We start from the raw sequence: 18,782 nt of genomic DNA, 5'->3' as shown, positions 1-18,782 counted from the left end.
TCTAGGGCATGGATGGCCTTGATCGGGCTGGAAAAGGTGCCTTGAATTCTTGGTTTGCTGAATATTAATGATCAGGAATGGCTGTTGAATTTTGTCAAACGATCTTTCTTTGTTTATTTGGATGACATATGGCTTTTCTGTTTTGGCTTGTTCATAATTTGGTTTGTTAACCTTGATTTTAAATGTAAAACTAACTTTGTATTCATGGGATAAAGTCCACTTGGTCATGATGTATTGCACTCTCTCTCTCTCTCTCTCTCTATATATATATATATATATGCACACACACACCTATATATAAAATATAAAACTACACACACATATGTAAATATATATACATGCATAGTTGGATTCAACTTGCTAAATGTTCCTTAAGAATTTTTATGTTTATATCCATAAGGGATATTTGTTTATAGCTTTATTTTCTTGTAATGTCTTTTTCTGGTTTCAGGGAAACAGAACGAATTGGGAAGTGTTACCTCATTTTCAATTTTCTGGAAGGTTTTGCATAGAATTGCTATTATTTCCTGCTTAAATATTTGTCAGAATTCACCAGTGAAGCCATTTGGGCCTGGAATTTTCTCTGTGGGAAAGTTTTAAAACATAAGTTCAATTTTAAAATAGATTTAGGGCTAATAAAGTTACCTACATCTTCTTGAGTGAGCTTTGGTAGTTTGTGTTCCTCAAAAAAATTGTTAAAGTGTTCAAAGTTTTTGGTAAAATATTGCTCAGAATATTCCCTTATTATCGTTTTAATGTTCGGATTCGTAGTCCTAGATTTGTAGTGGGTGTCTTTTCTCTTTTTTTCTTTTTTCCTTTTTTTTTTTTTTTTTTTTTTGATTCGGAGTCTTGTTCTGTCACCCAGGCTAGAGTGCAGTGGTGTGATCTCGGCTCATTGCAACCTCCGCCTCCTAGGTTCCAGTGATTCTCCTGCCTCAGCCTCCTGAGTAGTTGGAATTACAGGCACGCACCACCACACCGGGCTAATTTTTGTATTTTTAGTGGAGATGGGGCTTCACCACGTTGGCCAGACTGGTCTTGAACTTCTGACCTCAAGTGACCCGCCCACCTCAGCCTCCCACAGTGTTGGGATTATAGGCGTGAGCCACCGCACCCGGCCTCTTTTTTTCTTGATCAGTAAGTCTAGAGGTTTGTAAATTGTATTGATCTTAAAGAACCACCTGTAGGTTTCGCTAATTTTCTTTATTGTTTTTTCAATTCTCTGATTTCTCTTGTGTATTATTTCTTCTGCTTACTATAAGTTTAATAAACTCTTCTTTTGCTACTTTCCAGGTGAAAGCTGAGGTATTTGATTTGGAACGTTCTTCTCTTCTAATGTTAGTGTTTAATGATATCAATTTCCCCATAATCATTACTTTAGCTTCATCTCACAAATTTTGATATGCCATTTTTTCATTTTCACTCAGTTCAAAATCTTTTCTCATTTCCTTTGAGATTCCCTCTTTGACCCGTGGGTTACTTAGAAGTGTGTTGTATAGTTTGAAGAGGTTTTCTATATCTCTTTCCATAATTGATTTCTAATTTAATTCCATGCTGGTTCAAGAACATTCTTTGTATGATCCGAATCCTTTAAAATTTACCGAAGTGGGAGGAAAGGCTGGGGTCCCATGGCTGCCTGACCAGGCAGGGGGAGAAGTGTGATCCTTATTGTGAGCCACTGGAGGGCTTTCAGCAGGGAGGGATTTGGTTTGGATTGCGTTTCTTAATAAGCATGGTGGCTGTTGTGCAGAGTGCAATGTAGACATCAGGGACCAGTTTGGAGCTACAACCGTGGTGTGAACCAGGGTGTAGCCAGAGTGAAGGGAAGTAGGTGGATTTGGGAGCTGTGAGGAGGCAGGAGTGATTGACCCAGTGTACACAGGGTGAAAGAGGTGAGTTGAGGGGCCTGAGATTGAGGTGGCCCAGAGTGGGGTCTCCAGGGAAGGGCATGAGGGTAACTTTGTGGCAGGGCCACAGATATCAGTGGCATGGAGGGTTGGAGACGAGGGCTAGGAGCCTCCTGTGCTGGAAAGAGCCCTGGGCTAGGATCAGGGCCGGGTTCGGCCGTGTTTCTGCAAGCTGGCCCCTCCACCACTCTGCACTTTTGCTTCCTTGCCCATCTGAGATGGGCAGCCGGCCTCGACCATCCCAGAGTTTTCATGGCCTGGACAAGGGAGGTCTGGGCATGAATCAAGAAAAGGTGTCCCCTCCAGAAAACAAACAGCAAAAGGGTGCCGTTTGGTTGAAAGCCGAAAGTTAAGGTTCAGTATTAGGTGCTGCCCTTGACATCTGGCAAAGCCAGAAGGCCTTGGCAGGCCTGCCTGTGAGCTCCCCTTCTCCCCTTTCACTCCGCCCTGTGGATGAGGCTCCCCGGCCCAACAACCCTCATCGAGGGGACCAAGAGGGGTTCCTCTTATCCCTACGCTTGTAAGGCTCCGTTTCTCGCCAGCCTGCAGCATGATGAAACAAGCTGATTACACCTTCCCGCAGAAGCCAGGAGTTGCCCCACCCCCTTTGTGCTCCAAAGCTGCCTTCCTGCAGCCCTGGCTGCTCGCTCGGATCCTCAGTGCACCCCGCCCCATGCCTCAGTGCAGCGTCATCTTCGTGGGCTCTGCGCACGTGTGTGGTAACCTGCTGCCAGCCTCCTCTGTCTGGTGTTTGGTGGTGTGTTTGGCCGTCTTCGTAACCATAGGGCTGGAAGCCCTCCCTCACTGATGAGTAAATGAAAAGTGATTAAAACAGCTCCTTTTTTTGGAGAGGACACAGCCTTTGCTAGGGTGGGTGGTGGGGCCAGTGTAGCCGGGGCTGAGTTTCAGACCCCACACGCCTCCTTGGCTGCGTGCCTCGGGCCAGTGCACAACCTGGACACCTGTATCTGGCAGCTCTCTCAGCAGGTTCCATTTATTTGGCCGGTGCTAAGATCAGTTCACCCTGATACCTGCCCTGGGGGGTGGGTCACGTGATCATTCTCATTTCACAGATGAGGGCTCTGTATGTGGTGGGGTGAGATTGGAACCCAGTCTCTGGTTGGCGTGGCTGAGTGAAGGTGTAAAGACATGAGCCTGGCAGGGAAAGGGAGGGGAACCGTCTCGTTATTGGTTGGGCATGGCCATCTGCACAGGCTCCTGTAGGGCCCGGGTAAGGTGGGGAATCTGATCAGGGCAGGGAGAAGAGGAGTGAGCTGTGGAAGCTGCCTTCAGCCACAGCAGACGGCCACGCTGTCCACTCGGCCACGGCTGCCTGGCCTCTGCCATGCCAGGCCCTTGAAGTCGCCCAACTCGCCTCCACGCTCTGATTGGAGAAGAGGCAACTCCTTTCCAGGAGTCTTTGACTAAAGGGGCTCCATGCAGGCACAATTTCTAGAGCGAGGTACTTTCCACAGTGACGGCCTCTTGCCGGTTGCCCTGGGCTGCTGTTGATTTCCTAGAATAATCCAAAGAAAAGCAGTGCCATGTGGTGAAGTGGGTATGTACTCGGAGCTTGGGGCAAAATGGCGGTCAAGTCTTATTGGGGGGTAAACTCTATGGCATTAGGCTTTTACTCCCTTCTGTGTACCCAAGCGGGACAGTGCCTGAAACATAGTAGGTACACAACAAAAATCAATTAAATTAAAGAAAAAATGAAGTCCCAGCTTCTCCGGGTCTCTGCAGGTGTCCTTAGGCAAGTTATATAACCCTGCTGCATCTCAGTTTCCTTGGCAAAGGAATTGGACTGTAATAGCACCTCATGTGGTTGTTGTATCGATTAAATAAGGTGACATAAAACAATAAGAACTCAGTATTATTACTATCATTGTGACCTCGGTCACCATCAGAATTGAGGCGGCCCTGTGAACAGTCACCCAGGACACAATAACCACATGTCCAGAGTGCTTGCTGCAGGCCTGGCATTTTCCCAGGTGCTTTAAAATAATACTTCCCTTAAACTTGAAAACAACTCTGTGAGCCAGGCTGGGTTTTGTTTGTTTTTTCTAAACACCATCTTACAAAGGAGGAGGCTAAAGCCCACAGAAGTGGTTCTGGCTATAAAATGCAGCCAGGGAGTGCTCCCTCATTTCTCCCTGTCAAAGAATGGGTGTGAGATGGCACCATCTGTTCTCTGAGGGTTTGAAAGAACTCACCTGTTGATCTGTCTGGGCCTGAAATTCTTTGTGGGAAAATTGCACTAGGACAGTTGAGACTATCTGTATCTCCCTTTGTCAGTTTTGGTGAGAGAGGTTAAGTCACTTGCCCAGGCAGGTGGGGAACGTGGGCCCAGGCAACCTGGCTGCCAAGCCTGGGCTTTCAACCATTACATTTTCCTGCATGAGGTATGATCACTTTCTACCCATGAGACTTTGGATAAGTCACTTTCTTTCTCTGACCCTAGTAATAGTATGGGGATAGTAATAATACATTTCTGGCAGGATTGTTGGAAAGATTAAATGGTTTCAGAAACACAGGCCTTGGTACTCTTGAGCCTTTGCCCTGGGCAGCCCAGGCCTGTCTCCATCTTGGCCCAGGAGGAAGCCCAGCCCGATGCCCAGGGATCACAGGTCACTCACTGGCTCTCCAGGTCCTGGATAGTGTCAGGGAGCGGAAGTCCCTGGGTCTCCGGGAGGAAGAACAGCACAACCAGGCTGGAAGCAATGGAGATAACGCCATAGAGGAGAGGAGGCAGCAGGGGCAGGGCTTGGCGGCTCATCAGGATCAGGGGACCCATCATAGCCCCCAGCCGGCCCACTGTATGCAGAATGCCATCTGCTGTCATCCTGTGGGTGAAGGGGAGGGCCCAGATCCCTGTAACAGCTGGCCCTGTGGCAGGAAGACATCCTGGGCTCACAGATGCCAGGGGAAGGAAAGCTGGGCTGAGGGAATTGCCCTCCTCAAGGCCTCCTCTAATGCCACCTCCTCCACGGAGCCCACCCAGATTTTTGCATCTAGTGTTTCAGGGGAAATCTCTAGGGCCCACCTCATTTTCCCCACTCTTGGGCAACTTAAGGGCTTCTCCATACTCCTGCTAGGCCACTGAGCTCCCAACTCAGGCTTTCCATACGATATCAACAAAATCAATAAATGCTTGTCCAAACAACAAATTAAAATATGGAGAAATGAGTGAGTGGTGGAAAGAACATTGGGCTAAAAGTCTGGAGAGCTGGAGTCCAGTCCTACCCTTCTGCTGAGCCAGTCCTTCACCCCGAGCCTCAGTTTACCCAAATATCAAATGTGGGGGTGGCCTAGACTCTAGACCACTGGTTTTCCATTTGTGTTTTATGATGCCCTTGGGCTCCAAGGAGGTGACTTGGGGCTCTCTTGGGGCAGGGAAGGAGTGGTGGGAAGTGAGTTGAGGGTCCCCACTGCTACCAGGGCAGCTCTTGGTCTCCTAATCAGGATTCTTATAAGATTCCATCTGGACAGATGACTCTGTGGCTCAAAATGGTGTGAAAACACAGGCCCAGATGTCCCCAGGGCTCTACTGTACTGCTTCTGTCTGGGTCGAGACTCTCAAGGGGAAGAGCTGTCCTGGGGGGGACCCTGAGCGGCCCTGGCTGCATTTCCCTGGCTGCCAGACCCTTCTTTCCCTTCCCACCGCCCTCTCAGGACGGCCCTGCTGGCCCTGGGGCATGGCCTGCAGCCCAGCTTACCGCACTGGCGTTGGAAAGAGTTCAGCCTTGTAGATGGTGAGGCAGGTTAGGCTTATCCCAAAACATCCCTTTCCCAGCACAGCAAAGACCACACGCAGGGTCTGCAAATCTGGGTACAGGAAGGGGGTGAGAGTGGGGTTTGCCCTGGAGGGTACCCAGGGGCTAGTCAGTGTGCGGCCAGCCAGCCTGGAGCAGAGGGGACCCTGGGCTCCCTACAAGTCCCCGGCCCTGCTGGCTTGGTGCGGGGCTGCCCAGGGCTGGGGTTGGGGGACAGAGCATAGGATGCGATATCGCGGCAGGGGCCCGAGGGGCACAGGCAGAAACCCAGCCAGGTCTAGGGTAGCTGAGCCTGGCCGGCCGTGGAGGCTGCACTGAAAGAATGCCCCCCACCGCGGCTCCTAGGGTCCCGAGATGCCTCTTGCTATGACGGAGAGAGCGCCGGGCCCGGTCCACAGCAGCCTTCCTGCTGCCCGCCAGCCTGCCTGTGTGGGGATGGCAGAAGCCCTGGCCTGGAGGCGGAGGTCCGGGCCCCCTTTTGGCCGCAGGCCTGGCCTCCCCAACGCGTTGCTCCGTGGAGGTGCCTGAACTGCTGGGAGGTGCTCGCCGTTGTCAGTTTCCTCGCAGCTGCTCGCGCTCAGAGCTTGGGCTCTCGCTGCAGCCTGCAGGGCCCCGGCCGCCTCCGTCCCCGCTCAGGCCTTCTGCCAGCCGCAAGGCAGCCTCCTGCCTTCCTCCCGGCTCTGCCGCCACCGCACGACGTGCCGCCCTGTCCCTTTCCCCCAGTCTCCCACCCTCAGCAATAAAAGGAGACACAGAGAGGGATTCCAGGTCCTCATAGCCTCCCTCATTCAGAAAGAAAACAGGGAGGCAGCTCCTGGGGCCAGGGAGGGGATGTGGCCCCACGCTCAGAGCAGTGGGGTGGGCGGGGAAGCAGGGCCCGGTCCCACCGCCCAGTCCGCCTGCCTCACCTTGCGGCACCAGCATGTTGGCTAGAATGGCGAGGCCGGCCATGGCCTGGGAACCCGCCTGGATGGTGCGGCGGCCAAGGAAACTGAGCAAGAGGGCAGTGGTGGCCCGGCCCAGGAAGTCCACGGCCCCGAAGAGGGCCTGGAGGAGGAAGATGTCACGGCCCAGGCTCTGCAGGTCGAAGACCAGCCCATAGTAGGAGATCAATAGAGAGAAACTGCGGGCAAGGCTGGAAGTCAGGTCCCTGCCCTGCCGGGGAGAGGGCACCCCAACAGCAACAGCACCTCCCACCAGGAGCTGCCTGGGAGGACATGGCCAACCCCGGAGGACAATCCTGGGCTTGTCTCGGCCAGCGATCCCAGAAGCCTGCCAAACTCAGGACACAACCCCAGCGTCAGGCTCTTCCAGGAAAGGGCAGGCAGGGTGGCTCCACCATCCCTTCACACACAGGCTTTGTGTCAGGGGCAGCGATGCGCTGGGGCGTTGCCTCTCTGGCTGGGACCAAGTCTGCCCTCGGGGGCCTCTGAGCTGCCCCTCACTTCCGGACTAGCCCTCTCTGGCTTTGATTCTGATAACCAGTCACACTGTGCCTTTCTCTTGGAAGATGGGAATCATGGCAGGACAGGGCCTCTCGGGAGACCCTGGGCTGCATTGCCCAGACCACATTCAGGATGGAGAGCCTGTCCCCCAGCCCCTGGGAGTGCTGCCCCTTCTCTGGGGAGAGCAGCCTGTGACTGGTTCATGGGGCAGAGGGACCACCCAGAAAGGCCCCAGCTCCCACGCTCCCAGGGGCTGGGCTGGGCCCAGGCTGTGGCTGCATCTCCCCTTGCCTTCCCTTCTCCATCTCAGGGTCTGCTTTCTGCCCACTCCCCCACCCCACTGGCTCACGAGTAGCTGAATTTACGGTATTTAAATTCTCATGGTTTGGAGATGGGATTTGGATCCACAACTGGCTGCAAGGTAAAATTCTTCTCGGCCACGTTTAAAATCTGTGCTCTCCCTGCTTAACCCAGATGCTCCTCCCAGCCCTCCCCTTAGGCGTCACCTGATTGCATCACCCAATAAACATCGGACAACACCAGCCCAACAACATCAGAGTAAAATCGCACAAGCCGCGGTGTTTCATGAAGTTTATGTGAGTGACGTGAGAGTCACTGGGCTGGTGCTCAAAGCGGCCGACACTGGAGCCTTGGACAGATAACAACTGGGTTAACAAGACAGGAAAACCCACAAGGTCACCAGCTTCAAAGCCTCTGATTTGAATAACAAAGGTTGCAGAGCCGGCCCCTGGGAGAACTGAGGAATCCTGGAAGGTTTTTTTTTTTTTTAAAAAAAAAAACTGGTCCCGGGTGTTTGCAGTGAGAGCACTCCTTCTGATTTATCAGAAAAAAATTGAAGTTTTTTAAAAAAGGCATTTGATCTATCTTTGTTCTAAGATGTAGCAAGTATTTGCCATCATAACCCATATGTGGTTAAATATAGCATAAAAGAAACGTTTTCCTAAACTTCAGTTTTATTTCAAGATAAAAGTCCCAATCAAACCAGGTCCTTAGGTTTTTTTTTTTTTCCTTTGACGGAATCTTGCCCTGTCGCCCAGGCTGGAGTGCAGTAGCACAATCTCAGCTCAGTGCAGCCTCTATCTCCTGGGCTCCAGTGATCCTCCTGCCTCATTTTTTGATTTTTAGTAGCGATGAGAGGGTCTTACTATGTTACCCAGGCTGGTCTTGAACTCCTGGGCTCAAGCGATCCTCCTGCCTCAGCCTCCCAAAGTGAGGGATTACAGGCTTGAGCCACCGCGCCTGACTGGTCCTTGCTTTTTAATATGCTCTTTTGGATGTCACCGGAACTGAATTTGTTTTAAGGGCCTTTTCCTGGGCCCAGATGACCTTGGGTCCCGGGGAGGGCCAGGGTCTGGTCGCGCGGGCCCTGGCAGTGACAGTGCCGGTAAGCCAAGTGTTAGCTCAGCCCGGTTCCAATGCAGGCTCTATTATTTTGGGCTTGTTCCTTACCCCTCTGGGATCCTCTTTCCCCATCAGTGAAGTGGGGTTGCATGGAGGGGTCAGCGAATGCAGGTTCACCCTCTAGGAGCATGGCCATGGTCTCTAGGAAAGTGGTAAGTCTCTAACGATGACACACAGTGGTACTCCTCGGCCGTGGCTGGTCCCCTGGCTCTAGGGACCCTGGCTCTGCCTCTGTCTTGGGACCTCCCTGGGACCCTGGGACCCCCAGCCTAGAGCTGCCTTTTCCTCTGGCTTCCTGCAGATGGCAGCCTCCAGATCCCACCTGTGCATAGTCCCTCTCTGCTGCCTGCCAGGACTCCTGCCTGCTGGGGCTGTCTGCGTCCTGTCCCAGACAGAAATGCACCCCCTTGAGGCCTGCGGGTGCTGTTTCCCCTGGACGCTCTGCCTCCTGCCTGTCCCAGCTCTGCCTCCTGCCTGTCCCAGCCCTGCCTTGGGGAGGGACACCAGGACGGCGTACTTCACCACCAGCATGGCGCAGCTCCTCCAGCGGAGCACGGGCACGCAGAACAGGTCCAGCACCGACCGCGGCTCCTTTGCAGAGGCCACCTCCTCCTTCACGCTGGACATCAGCACCTTCCGGGGAGAATGGGGGCACCGTGAATGGTAGGGCAATGGCCCTGCCCCACCCCCTGTGCCAGAGAACAGTGTCCAAGTGGCCAGAGTGACGGGGAGCCTGTCCTGGGCCTCGGCCTCTGGAAGCTGGATCCCTAGGGGAAGGGGAGGGGATGGGGCAGAAAAGGTTCTCTCCAGGCCCTGGCTCTTCTGCAGGTTTGACTCAGCCCTGGTCCTCTCAGCTCTAGCTTGCCTCCTTCTGGAAGCCTTCCCTTATCCTCCGACCCCATCTTCACTCTAATCTCTGGCAGCGCCTGTTTCCTGAAAGCAGCTACCTTCAAATAAACACATTCTGTTTCCCCAGACACATCGAGAACCCCCATGAGGTGGGTGCGTGCTACATGCAGGTGGAGGTGGTGGGTGATGGAGGTGACGGTGTGGGTGCTGTTGATAATGATGGTGCTGTTACCGATGGTGACGATGGTGGTGAAGGTGGTGGAGATGTTTTGCAGAGATGGTGGCTGTGGGGTTAGTGATGGTATTGGTGGTGCTGGTGGTGATGGAGTGATGGCAGTGAAGGTGATGGTGGGTGTGGACAGTGGTGGTGCTGTTGGTGATGGTATCGGGATTGGTGGTGGTGGTGGTGGTGTCTGTGTGGAGGTGGTGATGGAGGTGTTGGTGGTGTCTGTGGAGATGCTGGTGGTGGTGCTGGTGGAGGTGGTGCTGGAGTGGGTGGTGCTGTTGGAGGCCACACGGATGATCCCTCAGTGCACGTCCTGTCCCAGGTCAAGTCTCGCAGACAGCAGCATCTCACCTCTATGGTCAGGTTCTTGGCCTCCTTGTGGCCATTTATCCTGGCCACCTTTCTGAGCTCCTGAAGTGCTTGGTCTGGTTTGCCCTTAATAATCAGCCACCGGGCGGATTCTGGCAGCCACCTGTAAGGAGGCAGGTGTGTAGCTGGGAGTGCACGCTGGGCTCTCCCCCGGGGCGGGGTGGAAAGGGGCAGTGGGCACGGACCCTCCAGCTGAGATGAGTGATGAGGAAGCACATGCTTCTGTGCCGCTGCTGCCCAGCCAGGAGCCTGGCAGTCCCCAGCGGTTTCAGAATAAAGCTGAGTCCCAATGCCTGGCCGCCCACCTTCCCAAGCGAGCCACCTCCATCTGGCTCGCCTGGCTGCCCGGGGCCTGCCCACCTGAGCCCTGCACACAGCCAGGGCACAGGTGGCCTGGGCATGGGTGTCCCTAGAGTTGGCTGCTTCACCAGTGATTCTGGGGCTATTTCTAGGATAGAAAGGTCACTTGGTGCTGGGTTTTTTTGTTTTTTTTTTGAGATGGAGTCTCACTCTGTCACCCAGGCTGGAGTGTAGTGGTGCGATCTTGGCTCACTGCAACCTCCACCTCCCAGGTTCAAGTGATTCTCCTGCCTCAGCCTCCTGAGTAGCAGGGTCTACAGGTGTGCACCACCATGGCTAATTTTTTTGTATTTTTAGTAGAGATGGGGTTTCACCATGTTAGCCAGGATGGTCTTGATCTTCTGACCTTGTGATCCACCTGCCTCAGCCTCCAAAGTGCTGGGATTACAGGCTTGAGCCACTGTGCCCGGCCTTTTTTTTTTTTTTTTTTTTTTTTTTTTAGCACATTTAAAATATCCCCAGGCAGAACCAGGTGATTTTATAAAACCAGTCTATTTCTCCCCAACCTCAGGGGCAGGTGGGCCAGGAGAAACACTTTCCTGGTGGAAGGCACAGGATCTGCCCAACCCACCGGCTCTCAGCCCTGTTTGCAGGGAAGCTAAGAAGGACTTCTGGAGGCAGTCTGACGTAGTGGTGAAGAGTTAGCCTGCCTAGGTTCAAATCCTGCCTCTGGCATTCACCGGCTGTGTGTGACCTTGGGTGAGTGACCTAACCTTTCTAGGTCTCGGTCCTTCATTTGAAAATGGTGGTAATCGCATCATCTTACTTATTAGAAGGTGTGTTAATACGCACCTAGTGTTATAAACTGCACCTGGTACACACCTGATCAGCGTGGCGGGGATGGCCTAATTATTGTAATTATGGGATGGCCTTCCTCTTCACTTATTGATCTGTGTATGAAACGTAAGCTCCACGGGGCCACTGGTTTTTGCCTGTTTTGTTCACTTGTGTGTCCCCAGCACCTAAGACCCTCTGCACCTGTCTGTGTCTCCTTCCTCAGTGCCAACCCAAGGAGGGATTTCCAGACCTTAGGGATTTTTGCGGCCCCTAAAATTGTAGTGACAACAATCTATTTTCATATCCAATGTTGGTCCGCACTGTATGTGAAGGAGTGAAGCTGGTGGGTGGGGGCTGGTGCAAGTATTGAGGAAGGACGATGCTCACAGCCTCAGCCCAGGGGACAGCGGCAGTGGGGCCTTGGGGACCGGGAGAGCGGCCGCTTCCACTGTGGCCGAAGTTCAGCCCAGTGCCCCTGGATCTTCCAGTTTTTCCAAAGAAGGTAAAAAATACTGTTTTTGTTTGTTTTTGAAAATCTTCTGATTTTTAAATGTTAGCAACTAGTTACAAATGTATTTTTTAAATCACCATTTGAGCCAATGCTGTGCCAGCCCATCTTGGCCTGTCTGGGCTGGATGGGAGCCACGGACCTCGGGCTGCAACACTTAGCCCAGGACTGCCAATCACCAATGTCCCTCCCTAGCGAGGGTGCCGCTCATGCCATGGCCCTTCTGTGGCACTCCAGGTCTCTGGACCTACTGCCAGCCAGAGAGGTGAAAGTGAAGAGTCCCCCTCCCACCCTGGGTCTCCTAAGGAAAAGGTCCCACATCATACTGACCAGGATATCAGGGAGATGGCAAAGAAGGGCACTGATGCTGCCAGCTGGAGAGTCCTCCAGTCCCGCAGGGCAAAGGCCAGGCCGCCCAGCGCCGCCTGGCCTGCGCTGAAGGCACATCCCACCACCGTCATGGTGACCGCCCTCCTGCTGGTCGTGGTCCACTCCACCACTGAAGGATGCAGACACGTGCAGGTGAGGCCTCATGCGGCGGCCTGAGCCCCATTCTCTCCTGCCACCCCCGCCCCCATGGCAGGAGCGCGCTGAGCCGGGGACTCACTCAGTGTCAGTGAACTCAGAAAGATGCCGGCCATCCCAAAAGCGGCCACGAACCGCAGGCCGCAGTAGATGACGAATGTTGGGGCGAAGATGGTGCTGGTGCCCGCCACGGCCAACTGCAGGCAGCACCAGCTCAGCATCGGCTTCCTCCCAAACCTGTCACAGGAGAGAAGCACACGGGGCCTGGAGAGGGGCCCCTGAGGACGTGGATATGTGGGCAGGTACTTGCCTTCTGGGAGTTCAACAACGCCAGGGGATCTCTTGCAGCCAGCTCCTCCTTCTTGGAACTTTTAGGGGTACACTCAGAGTGCTTCTGTTATAAAAGTGGCAGGTACCTTGCCATGGGAGGGTGCAGTTCAGTTTCAGTGTTTAAGAACATGGGGTTTGGGGCCAGGCACGGTGGTTCATGCCTGTAATCCCAGCACTTTGGGAGACTGAGGCTGGAGGATCACTTTAGGCCAGGAGTTCAAGACCAGCCTGGGCAACATAGTGAGACCTCAGTCTCTACTAAATAAATAAATAAATAAATAAATAAATAAATAAATAAATAAATAAATTAGCCAGGTGTCTGCGGTCCCAGCTACTTGGGAGGCTGAGGTGGGAGGATGGCTTGAGCCCAGGAGTTCAAGGCTGCAGTGAGGTATGATCACGCCTCTGCACTGCAGGCTGTTCAACAGAATGAGCCTCTGTCTCTAATAAATAAATAAAAAAGAACACAGGTTTGGGCATCAGATGCCTGGGTTTGAGCCCCAGCTCTGTCCTTCCTGGGTGACCCTGGGCATGTGATTCGACATCTCTGAGCCTCAGTTTCCCCATCTGTAACACAAGGGCATCCATAAGGACATGCCTCACAGGGCTGCTATGAGAATCAAGACACTGGGCAAGGGGCCAGGGAGTAAGGAGGCCGAGACTTTGCAATCCACTGCTCTCACCTGTGCGCTGTGAAGGGGGTGCTCATGGGGCGGATGCAGAGCCCTCGGCCCCTGCCCGAGTGCCCTGGGCTGCGGTGGCCTCCAGGCCGGCTGAGTCTGAACCGGAGATTGCATTTAGTGCCACTCAAGCCCGTTCTGCTCAGAACGGAGATGCGAGGCAGACCTTGGCCGCACCTGTCTGAGCAGCACCCAGGAGCAAGGACACTCGCTTCATCCTCACGACAACTGCGTGGGCAGGTGCGAGACCCCACTGCTGGGGGGAAACTGAGGCCCAGAGAAGGGAAGAGATCTCCAGAGAAGGGAAGAGATCTACCTTGTAGGACAAGGCTGGGTGGGATAAGGCTGGGATTCAGACCCAGGTAGTCAGACCCCAGAGCCAGTAGGGTGGTGGCAGGAGGGAGTGGGAAGGCAGTCCTCCATTCATGAAATAATGACTGCGTGTCTGCCACCGTGCTGAGCTGGGCTCTGGAGCACAGTCCCTGGGTCCCTGTGTGCTTGTGGGGACGTGGACAACAAACAAGCCTTGAGCCAGCCAGGCATCGTCAGAGCCAGGCACTGTGATGAGGGAAGCAAGGAGGGGCTGGGACAGTCATGCCTGGGGCCGGGCAGGAGTCTCTGGCTCCGTGGCCTCGGAGGGCCTCCTCAAGGAAGAGCATTGAGTTGCGGCCTGCGTGTGGGCACAAAGCAGCATAGGCAAGAGCTTCTGGGTGAAGCACAGTCACTGAGGCGCTCTGCAGGCGTGCAGGGGGCCCCAGGAGGAGGCTGGTGGAGCTGGGGGTGGATGGAAGCCCAGCGCAGGGCAGGGGGTAGGCAGGAAGGGACTGTCCTCAGTGCAGTGGGGCCCTCGGAGGACTTTGGGCCAGCTTTTATTGACCAGATCAACCTCCGAGATTTTGCAAAGTCACTCAGTGCTGTGGCAGCGTGGACGGCCACTGCAGAGGACACCTGCGAGGGGTTGCAGCCTGCCTGGTGAGAGGAGATGGTGGCTCAGGCAAGGGGATGCTGTGGCAGAGAGGGGCTTGGGCTGAGTGTGTCCTGGAGGAAGAGCCAGGTGAGTGTGGGGGTGAGGAAGGGAGGCCAGGGGACAGCGCAGGCGCAGAAGGGTCCCACAGGTTGGGGGTCTGTGTCCTCCGATGGAGGCTGCTGGGGGAGTGAGGGGGCGTGGCAAGGAATCAGCAGCTCAGCTCCCAGAACAGGAAGAGAGGCAGGAGGGGGAGCGGGAGGAGGGGGAGCAAGAACAGCTTCCTGGGAGGTGGAAGGAAAACCAGGAGTGAGGATGTTCTGGAAGCCAAGAGAAGAAAGTGTGTCACAGAGAACGCTTCTCCCCGCCAGCAGGCCTAGGCTTCAGTGTCACCTGGTACGAGACGTTTCCAGTCCTGCCGGCTGGCCCTGGCGTGCCCATCACCTGTGCCCTGTTCCCCTAACCGGCCTCACGTTCCAAGGTGGCCTGACTTACTTACCTGTGTCCTGAGCCCTGCTTGGCTCCAAGCTGGGGAAGAGCAGACACTTGTCTCCCACCCTCCCCACCGCCCCTTCCCCCATTTCTGCTGAGGCATCCCTTGCACCTGGCTAGTGTTTGGCCCACGTGAGGCTTCTGGAAAGGCCTTGAGACTGGGGGACAAAGGACAGAGGAGAGGAGGATGGGGAGCCAGGACAACTTTGAGGCACAGGGTCCAAGCACGGCCGCATGGAGGAGGCCTATGACCATCTGGCAGGAGTATGGGAGAGGAAATGGGGGCGGTGGGGGATGGCCTGGGGTGGCCTCCCTGTGAGGGGAACCAGGCCAGGGTCTGGGGGGCCTTGCTGAGATGGGGACCCGGAACAGCCTGTGGGTTGGTTCGGATGGCCAGGGGAGGGAAGAAACAGAGGAGGCAGGAGGGAGACGGAAGCAGGGATGGGGTGTTTGCCTGACATTTCTGAACCTTCTGCCCCATAGTCTTCAACAATGTTTTGAGGGAGCTGGGGGCTGGGAGGAGCGGAGGCACTCACCGGTAGGAGAGGAGGCCCCAGATAAAGGAGCCCACCAGGATCCCGGACATGAAGATGGACTGGCTTAGGGGCTTCAAGCCCTGGGAGCTGCACACCAGGTCCCACTGCAAGAGGAGGGTGCAGTGGCTCAGCTCGGGGGGTATGAAATCACAGGGCTGGGCACGGCCGAGGAACGCCTGACCCACACTGGGGTCCCTGGACTCCCAGTGCCAGGTCACAGAGGTAGAGAGGACCTGCTGGCCATGGGGCTGCAACTCCCCATGGGAAGCTCAGCTGCAGGACAGAATGTGACCTGGCTCTGCGTCTGCCAGCTGTGTGGAGGCCACTCCACGGGGTCCAGTGGCCCCCCTCATGCAGAGGACAGACTCTGACAGGCAGCAGGGCCTTGAAGGGGCAGAAGTGGTAGAAAAATGAACAATTTCTTGGTAAAAAGAACTTTGGCAGGCAATGTGTGGCTGTGTCTGGCAGTACCTGGCAGTGGTGGGCTGTGAGGTGGCAGGCAAGGTGGGCAGTGGGAGGCAGGGGCAGGGAGTGGCTGGCAGGGGTGAAACCATAGGCTTGGCTTCCACCTCTACTGAGTGCTGGCCAGGTGGACGTGGCAGAGCCACTGCCTCGGCTGGGCTATCCTTTCCTCTAGAGACGGAGTCACGGAGTCGTGATCTGGTGCTGTCATCAGCGGTGAGGGTGACTAGAGAGAGCTTGGCACGGTTCACTGGGATTTTTACAGTGGCTTCAGCCCAGGACCAGTCATCCATTGCCTGAACACCCCACACCCATCCCCAAGTCCGTCCTCCACTGAGGCCCGGCAGCTCCCTCCACCTCTCTCTTTCCCCTTCCCACCCGGGCAGCTGCAGTAGCCTCCAGTGGGCTCCCCATCCCCCCACAGAGCTTCTCTACTCTGCAAAGTGACTTCTTGAAAATGCAAGTCAGACCAAATCACTTCCATGCTCCAAACCCTCCAATGAGGATGACGAGGATGAGGTTCTTTTGCATTTAAAAGAAAATCCCGGGCACAGTGGCTCATGCCTGTAATCCCAACACTTTGGAATGCTGGGGCTGGAGGATCCTTTCGGCTCAGGAATTCAAGACCAGCCTGGGCCATGTAGTCAGACCTCATATCTACTAAAAATTTAAAAAATTAGACCAAGCGTGGTGGTTCATGCCTGTAATCCCAGCACTTTGGGAGGCCGAGGCGGGTGGATCACCAGAGGTCAGGAGTTCGAGACCAGCCTGACCAACGTGGTGAAACCCCTTCTCTACTAAAAATACAAAAATTAGCCGGGAGTGGTTGTGCATGCCTGTAATTCCAGCTACTCGGGAGGCTGAGGCTGGAGAATCGCTTGGACCCAGAAGGTGGAGGTTGCAGTGAGCCGAGATTGCGTTATTGCACTCCAGGCTAGGCAACAGAGCGAGACTCAGTCTCAAAAAAAAAAAAAAAAATTAGCTGGGCATGGTGGTATGTGCCTATAGTCCTAGCTACTGGGGAGGCCAAGCCACGAGGATCATTGGAGGCCGGGAGTTAGAGGCTGCAGGCAGTCATGTTTGTGCCACTGTGCTCCAGCCTGGGTGACAGAGTGAGACTCTGTCTCAAAAAAAAAAAAAAAAAAAAAAGAGAAAGAAAATCCCAGCTCCAGAGCATGTCCCCGCACCTGCTTCTGGCCCCTCAGCACCTGTGCGCAGACACACTGGGCCTTATTCTGCTCCTTCAAATCCCAGACATACTTCTATGCATGACCTTTGCTCTGTGGGGCTCCTGACCTTCACAGATTCCTCCTTTCACCATCCCAGCCTCGATGTCAATGTATCCTCTTTGGAGAGGCCATCCCCAACCATCTGCCTGAAGGAGGCTGCCGCTCCTCACCCCTCGCAACCTTGCTTTTGTCCCTCATGCAGACTGCGAGGATTGACTCAGGCTCCAGACCCTGACTGCCGGGATTGAATCAGGCTCTGGGACACTCTAGCTGTGTGCGCTGGGACAGCCCCTTAACCTCTCTGTGTTTTCCTTTTCTCCGTTATTAAATGAGGACTGTCATAGGACCCATCCCACAAGATTGTGGCGAGGTTGTGGCAGCAGGGACACATTTGGAAATGTGTCTGCCACTTTGCCGGTGCAGGGCGAGGGGTGGCTTTGCTGCTAGAAGGGGTTTAAATGTCAACTGAGTGAATTCACCGGTGGAATGGATGCTTCTTGAAGTCTCCCTGCTCATGTTGGAACCGGAGCCCCGATCCGAATCTGGGCCATCATCACCGATCAGGAAATGGGCGTGGGGTGACCAGAATGCTTTGCTTGGCCAAACTTTAGTCAGGTTCCTGAGCCTTCTCCTGGGCCCATCTGGCGCTTCCTCATAAAATCCAGTTTTAGCAAAGAACCCTGCTGAATCAGTTTAGCAAGAACCCCCCTCTGCCCCCAGCCTCAACATTGATCAGGTTCCTCATCCTCCACCATCTCTAGGGTGACGTGTGTCACCCTGGCCTGTCTCAGCAAGAAGCCTGTTGGGTCAGTTCAGCCAGACCCCCCTTACCCCTGATTTCCCCCTGCAGCTGAGTTGTCTGGAGTCACGGCTAATGGGTCAGTAGGGCCGGGACCAGGCGAGGCTGGCGAATGTCCAGATGCCAGCATTCAGAGGTGCCCACCCAGGTGCCCCCCGCACTACCAGGAGCCTGGGCTGGCCCCATCTGTAGACTGATCCCTGCCGCCCACTCCCCTGTGTGTGGCTGACGAGGGGCTGAGAGGCTCGAGAGGAGGCGGGTCCCTCCCAGGACTGGACCTTGGAGTCCAACCAACCTGATCCATGACTCTGACCTCCAAGGTGACGGGACTCGAGTGGCTCTGGGGGAGGCCCTACCTTGGCCACGATGGTGGAGGTGAAGACGCTGCGGTCATAGACCCAGCCGTCCACACACGGCTCCGTGTCAGCTTCGCTCCAGCTGGTGGCCGTGGCATTGGGGTCCAAGAGCTGCCACTGTGGCTGGCGGAAGCGGCGGCACTGGTGGGGCCCCTGGTTGGGGCCTGGCGGGATGGAGATGGTCAGAAGGGCCTTGGGGGTCATGTTTGTGGAAACCGCAGAGCCATTGTCCAGCATGTGTGTCCAGCATCGGTGGCCTGGGATGGCGGCTGAGAAGTTCTCCAGGAGCATCTGGGAAGGTATCATGAGGCAGGGGAGGATGAAGGTGAGCACCTGCAGGGTCTGGAAGAGGCCCACGCCTCCGGCTTGCTCCAAGAGCTTCGAGAACGCCATGAACAGAGCTGCCTCGGCTGAGCGGACTGCTGACCTAACTGCTGTTTGGAACCGATTGCAGCCACAAGATCCAGGGCCACCAAGACCTTCTGCCTTCCTGCCCCTCAGCCGGATTGGGGGTGGGGCACTGTCCAATAACCAGTTGAGTCAGTCCCTCAGTCCCGGGAAGCCCTGTGATGCCTCGGGGAAACTCCTCCTTATCTTGTGTCCAGGAGTGACTGTGCGGATGCCCCAGAGCTCTGCGGAGGGGGTGAAGGGGACTAAGCTCACTGTGCCCGGGCTGCCTGGGGCATCCGAGCTGCCCACCAAGTGTGGACCAGAGGGCTGAGCCACCTTCTGAGTTCTCCAGCACCAAAAGTGAAAGTCAGGCAGATTCTATT

The 18,782-nt window shown here is 55.0% G+C and overlaps 1 protein-coding gene across 3 annotated transcripts, besides 4 other annotated features; it reads right to left on the bottom strand.

Annotated features, from left to right (window-relative positions):
- Positions 1-1,526: 1,526 nt before the first annotated feature.
- On the bottom strand, positions 1,527-18,461 carry SLC22A11 (solute carrier family 22 member 11). 3 transcript variants are annotated; one of them, NM_018484.4, is made up of 10 exons: positions 18,010-18,461; positions 15,164-15,267; positions 12,244-12,398; positions 11,967-12,135; positions 9,974-10,094; positions 9,065-9,180; positions 6,589-6,803; positions 5,624-5,732; positions 4,544-4,750; positions 1,527-3,423 (listed from the first exon to the last, which is right to left on the bottom strand). In NM_018484.4, the coding sequence occupies exons 1-10, from the start codon at positions 18,400-18,402 to the stop codon at positions 3,360-3,362; spliced, it is 1,653 nt and encodes a 550-aa protein (NP_060954.1). In that variant the 5' UTR covers positions 18,403-18,461; the 3' UTR covers positions 1,527-3,359. The 3 variants fall into 3 exon arrangements, with proteins under 3 accessions (NP_060954.1, XP_011543469.1, NP_001294914.1); XM_011545167.2 differs by lacking the exon at positions 15,164-15,267; NM_001307985.2 differs by lacking the exons at positions 5,624-5,732; positions 6,589-6,803.
- Positions 2,494-3,098: an enhancer, noted in NCBI's record as "H3K4me1 hESC enhancer chr11:64338776-64339380 (GRCh37/hg19 assembly coordinates)". NCBI's record gives its function as "activates a minimal SCP1, AML or CMV promoter by ChIP-STARR-seq in naive H9 embryonic stem cells {active_cell/tissue: H9 hESC(naive)}" and the evidence as "EXISTENCE:reporter gene assay evidence [ECO:0000049][PMID:30033119]".
- Positions 8,619-9,588: an enhancer, noted in NCBI's record as "H3K27ac-H3K4me1 hESC enhancer chr11:64332286-64333255 (GRCh37/hg19 assembly coordinates)". NCBI's record gives its function as "activates a minimal SCP1, AML or CMV promoter by ChIP-STARR-seq in naive H9 embryonic stem cells {active_cell/tissue: H9 hESC(naive)}" and the evidence as "EXISTENCE:reporter gene assay evidence [ECO:0000049][PMID:30033119]".
- Positions 14,375-14,543: a silencer, noted in NCBI's record as "fragment chr11:64327331-64327499 (GRCh37/hg19 assembly coordinates)". NCBI's record gives its function as "represses an EF-1alpha promoter that drives an FKBP-Casp9 reporter gene in an ReSE screen in phorbol 12-myristate 13-acetate-treated (for megakaryocytic differentiation) K562 erythroleukemia cells {active_cell/tissue: K562(+PMA)}" and the evidence as "EXISTENCE:reporter gene assay evidence [ECO:0000049][PMID:32094911]".
- Positions 15,494-16,007: an enhancer, noted in NCBI's record as "H3K27ac-H3K4me1 hESC enhancer chr11:64325867-64326380 (GRCh37/hg19 assembly coordinates)". NCBI's record gives its function as "activates a minimal SCP1, AML or CMV promoter by ChIP-STARR-seq in naive H9 embryonic stem cells {active_cell/tissue: H9 hESC(naive)}" and the evidence as "EXISTENCE:reporter gene assay evidence [ECO:0000049][PMID:30033119]".
- Positions 18,462-18,782: the final 321 nt, after the last annotated feature.

Source organism: Homo sapiens, chromosome 11 (assembly GCF_000001405.40).
Source record: "Homo sapiens chromosome 11, GRCh38.p14 Primary Assembly".
Lineage (NCBI taxonomy): Eukaryota > Metazoa > Chordata > Mammalia > Primates > Hominidae > Homo > Homo sapiens.
Note: the sequence above shows the minus strand (reverse complement) of the source record. Positions and strands in the feature narration are given on the sequence as shown.

Bases quoted from the DNA above. Each gene is read 5' to 3' on its own strand.
- SLC22A11 (NM_018484.4), bottom strand. From the start codon at position 18,402: ATGGCGTTCTCGAAGCTCTTGGAGCAAGCCGGAGGCGTGGGCCTCTTC. The intron at 10,095-11,966 runs GTCAGTATGATG...GCCTCCTTACAG, and splicing joins GCCATCTCCCTGATATCCTG to GTGGCTGCCAGAATCCGCCC. The intron at 9,181-9,973 runs GTGAGATGCTGC...TCTCCCCGGAAG, and splicing joins CCAAGAACCTGACCATAGAG to GTGCTGATGTCCAGCGTGAA.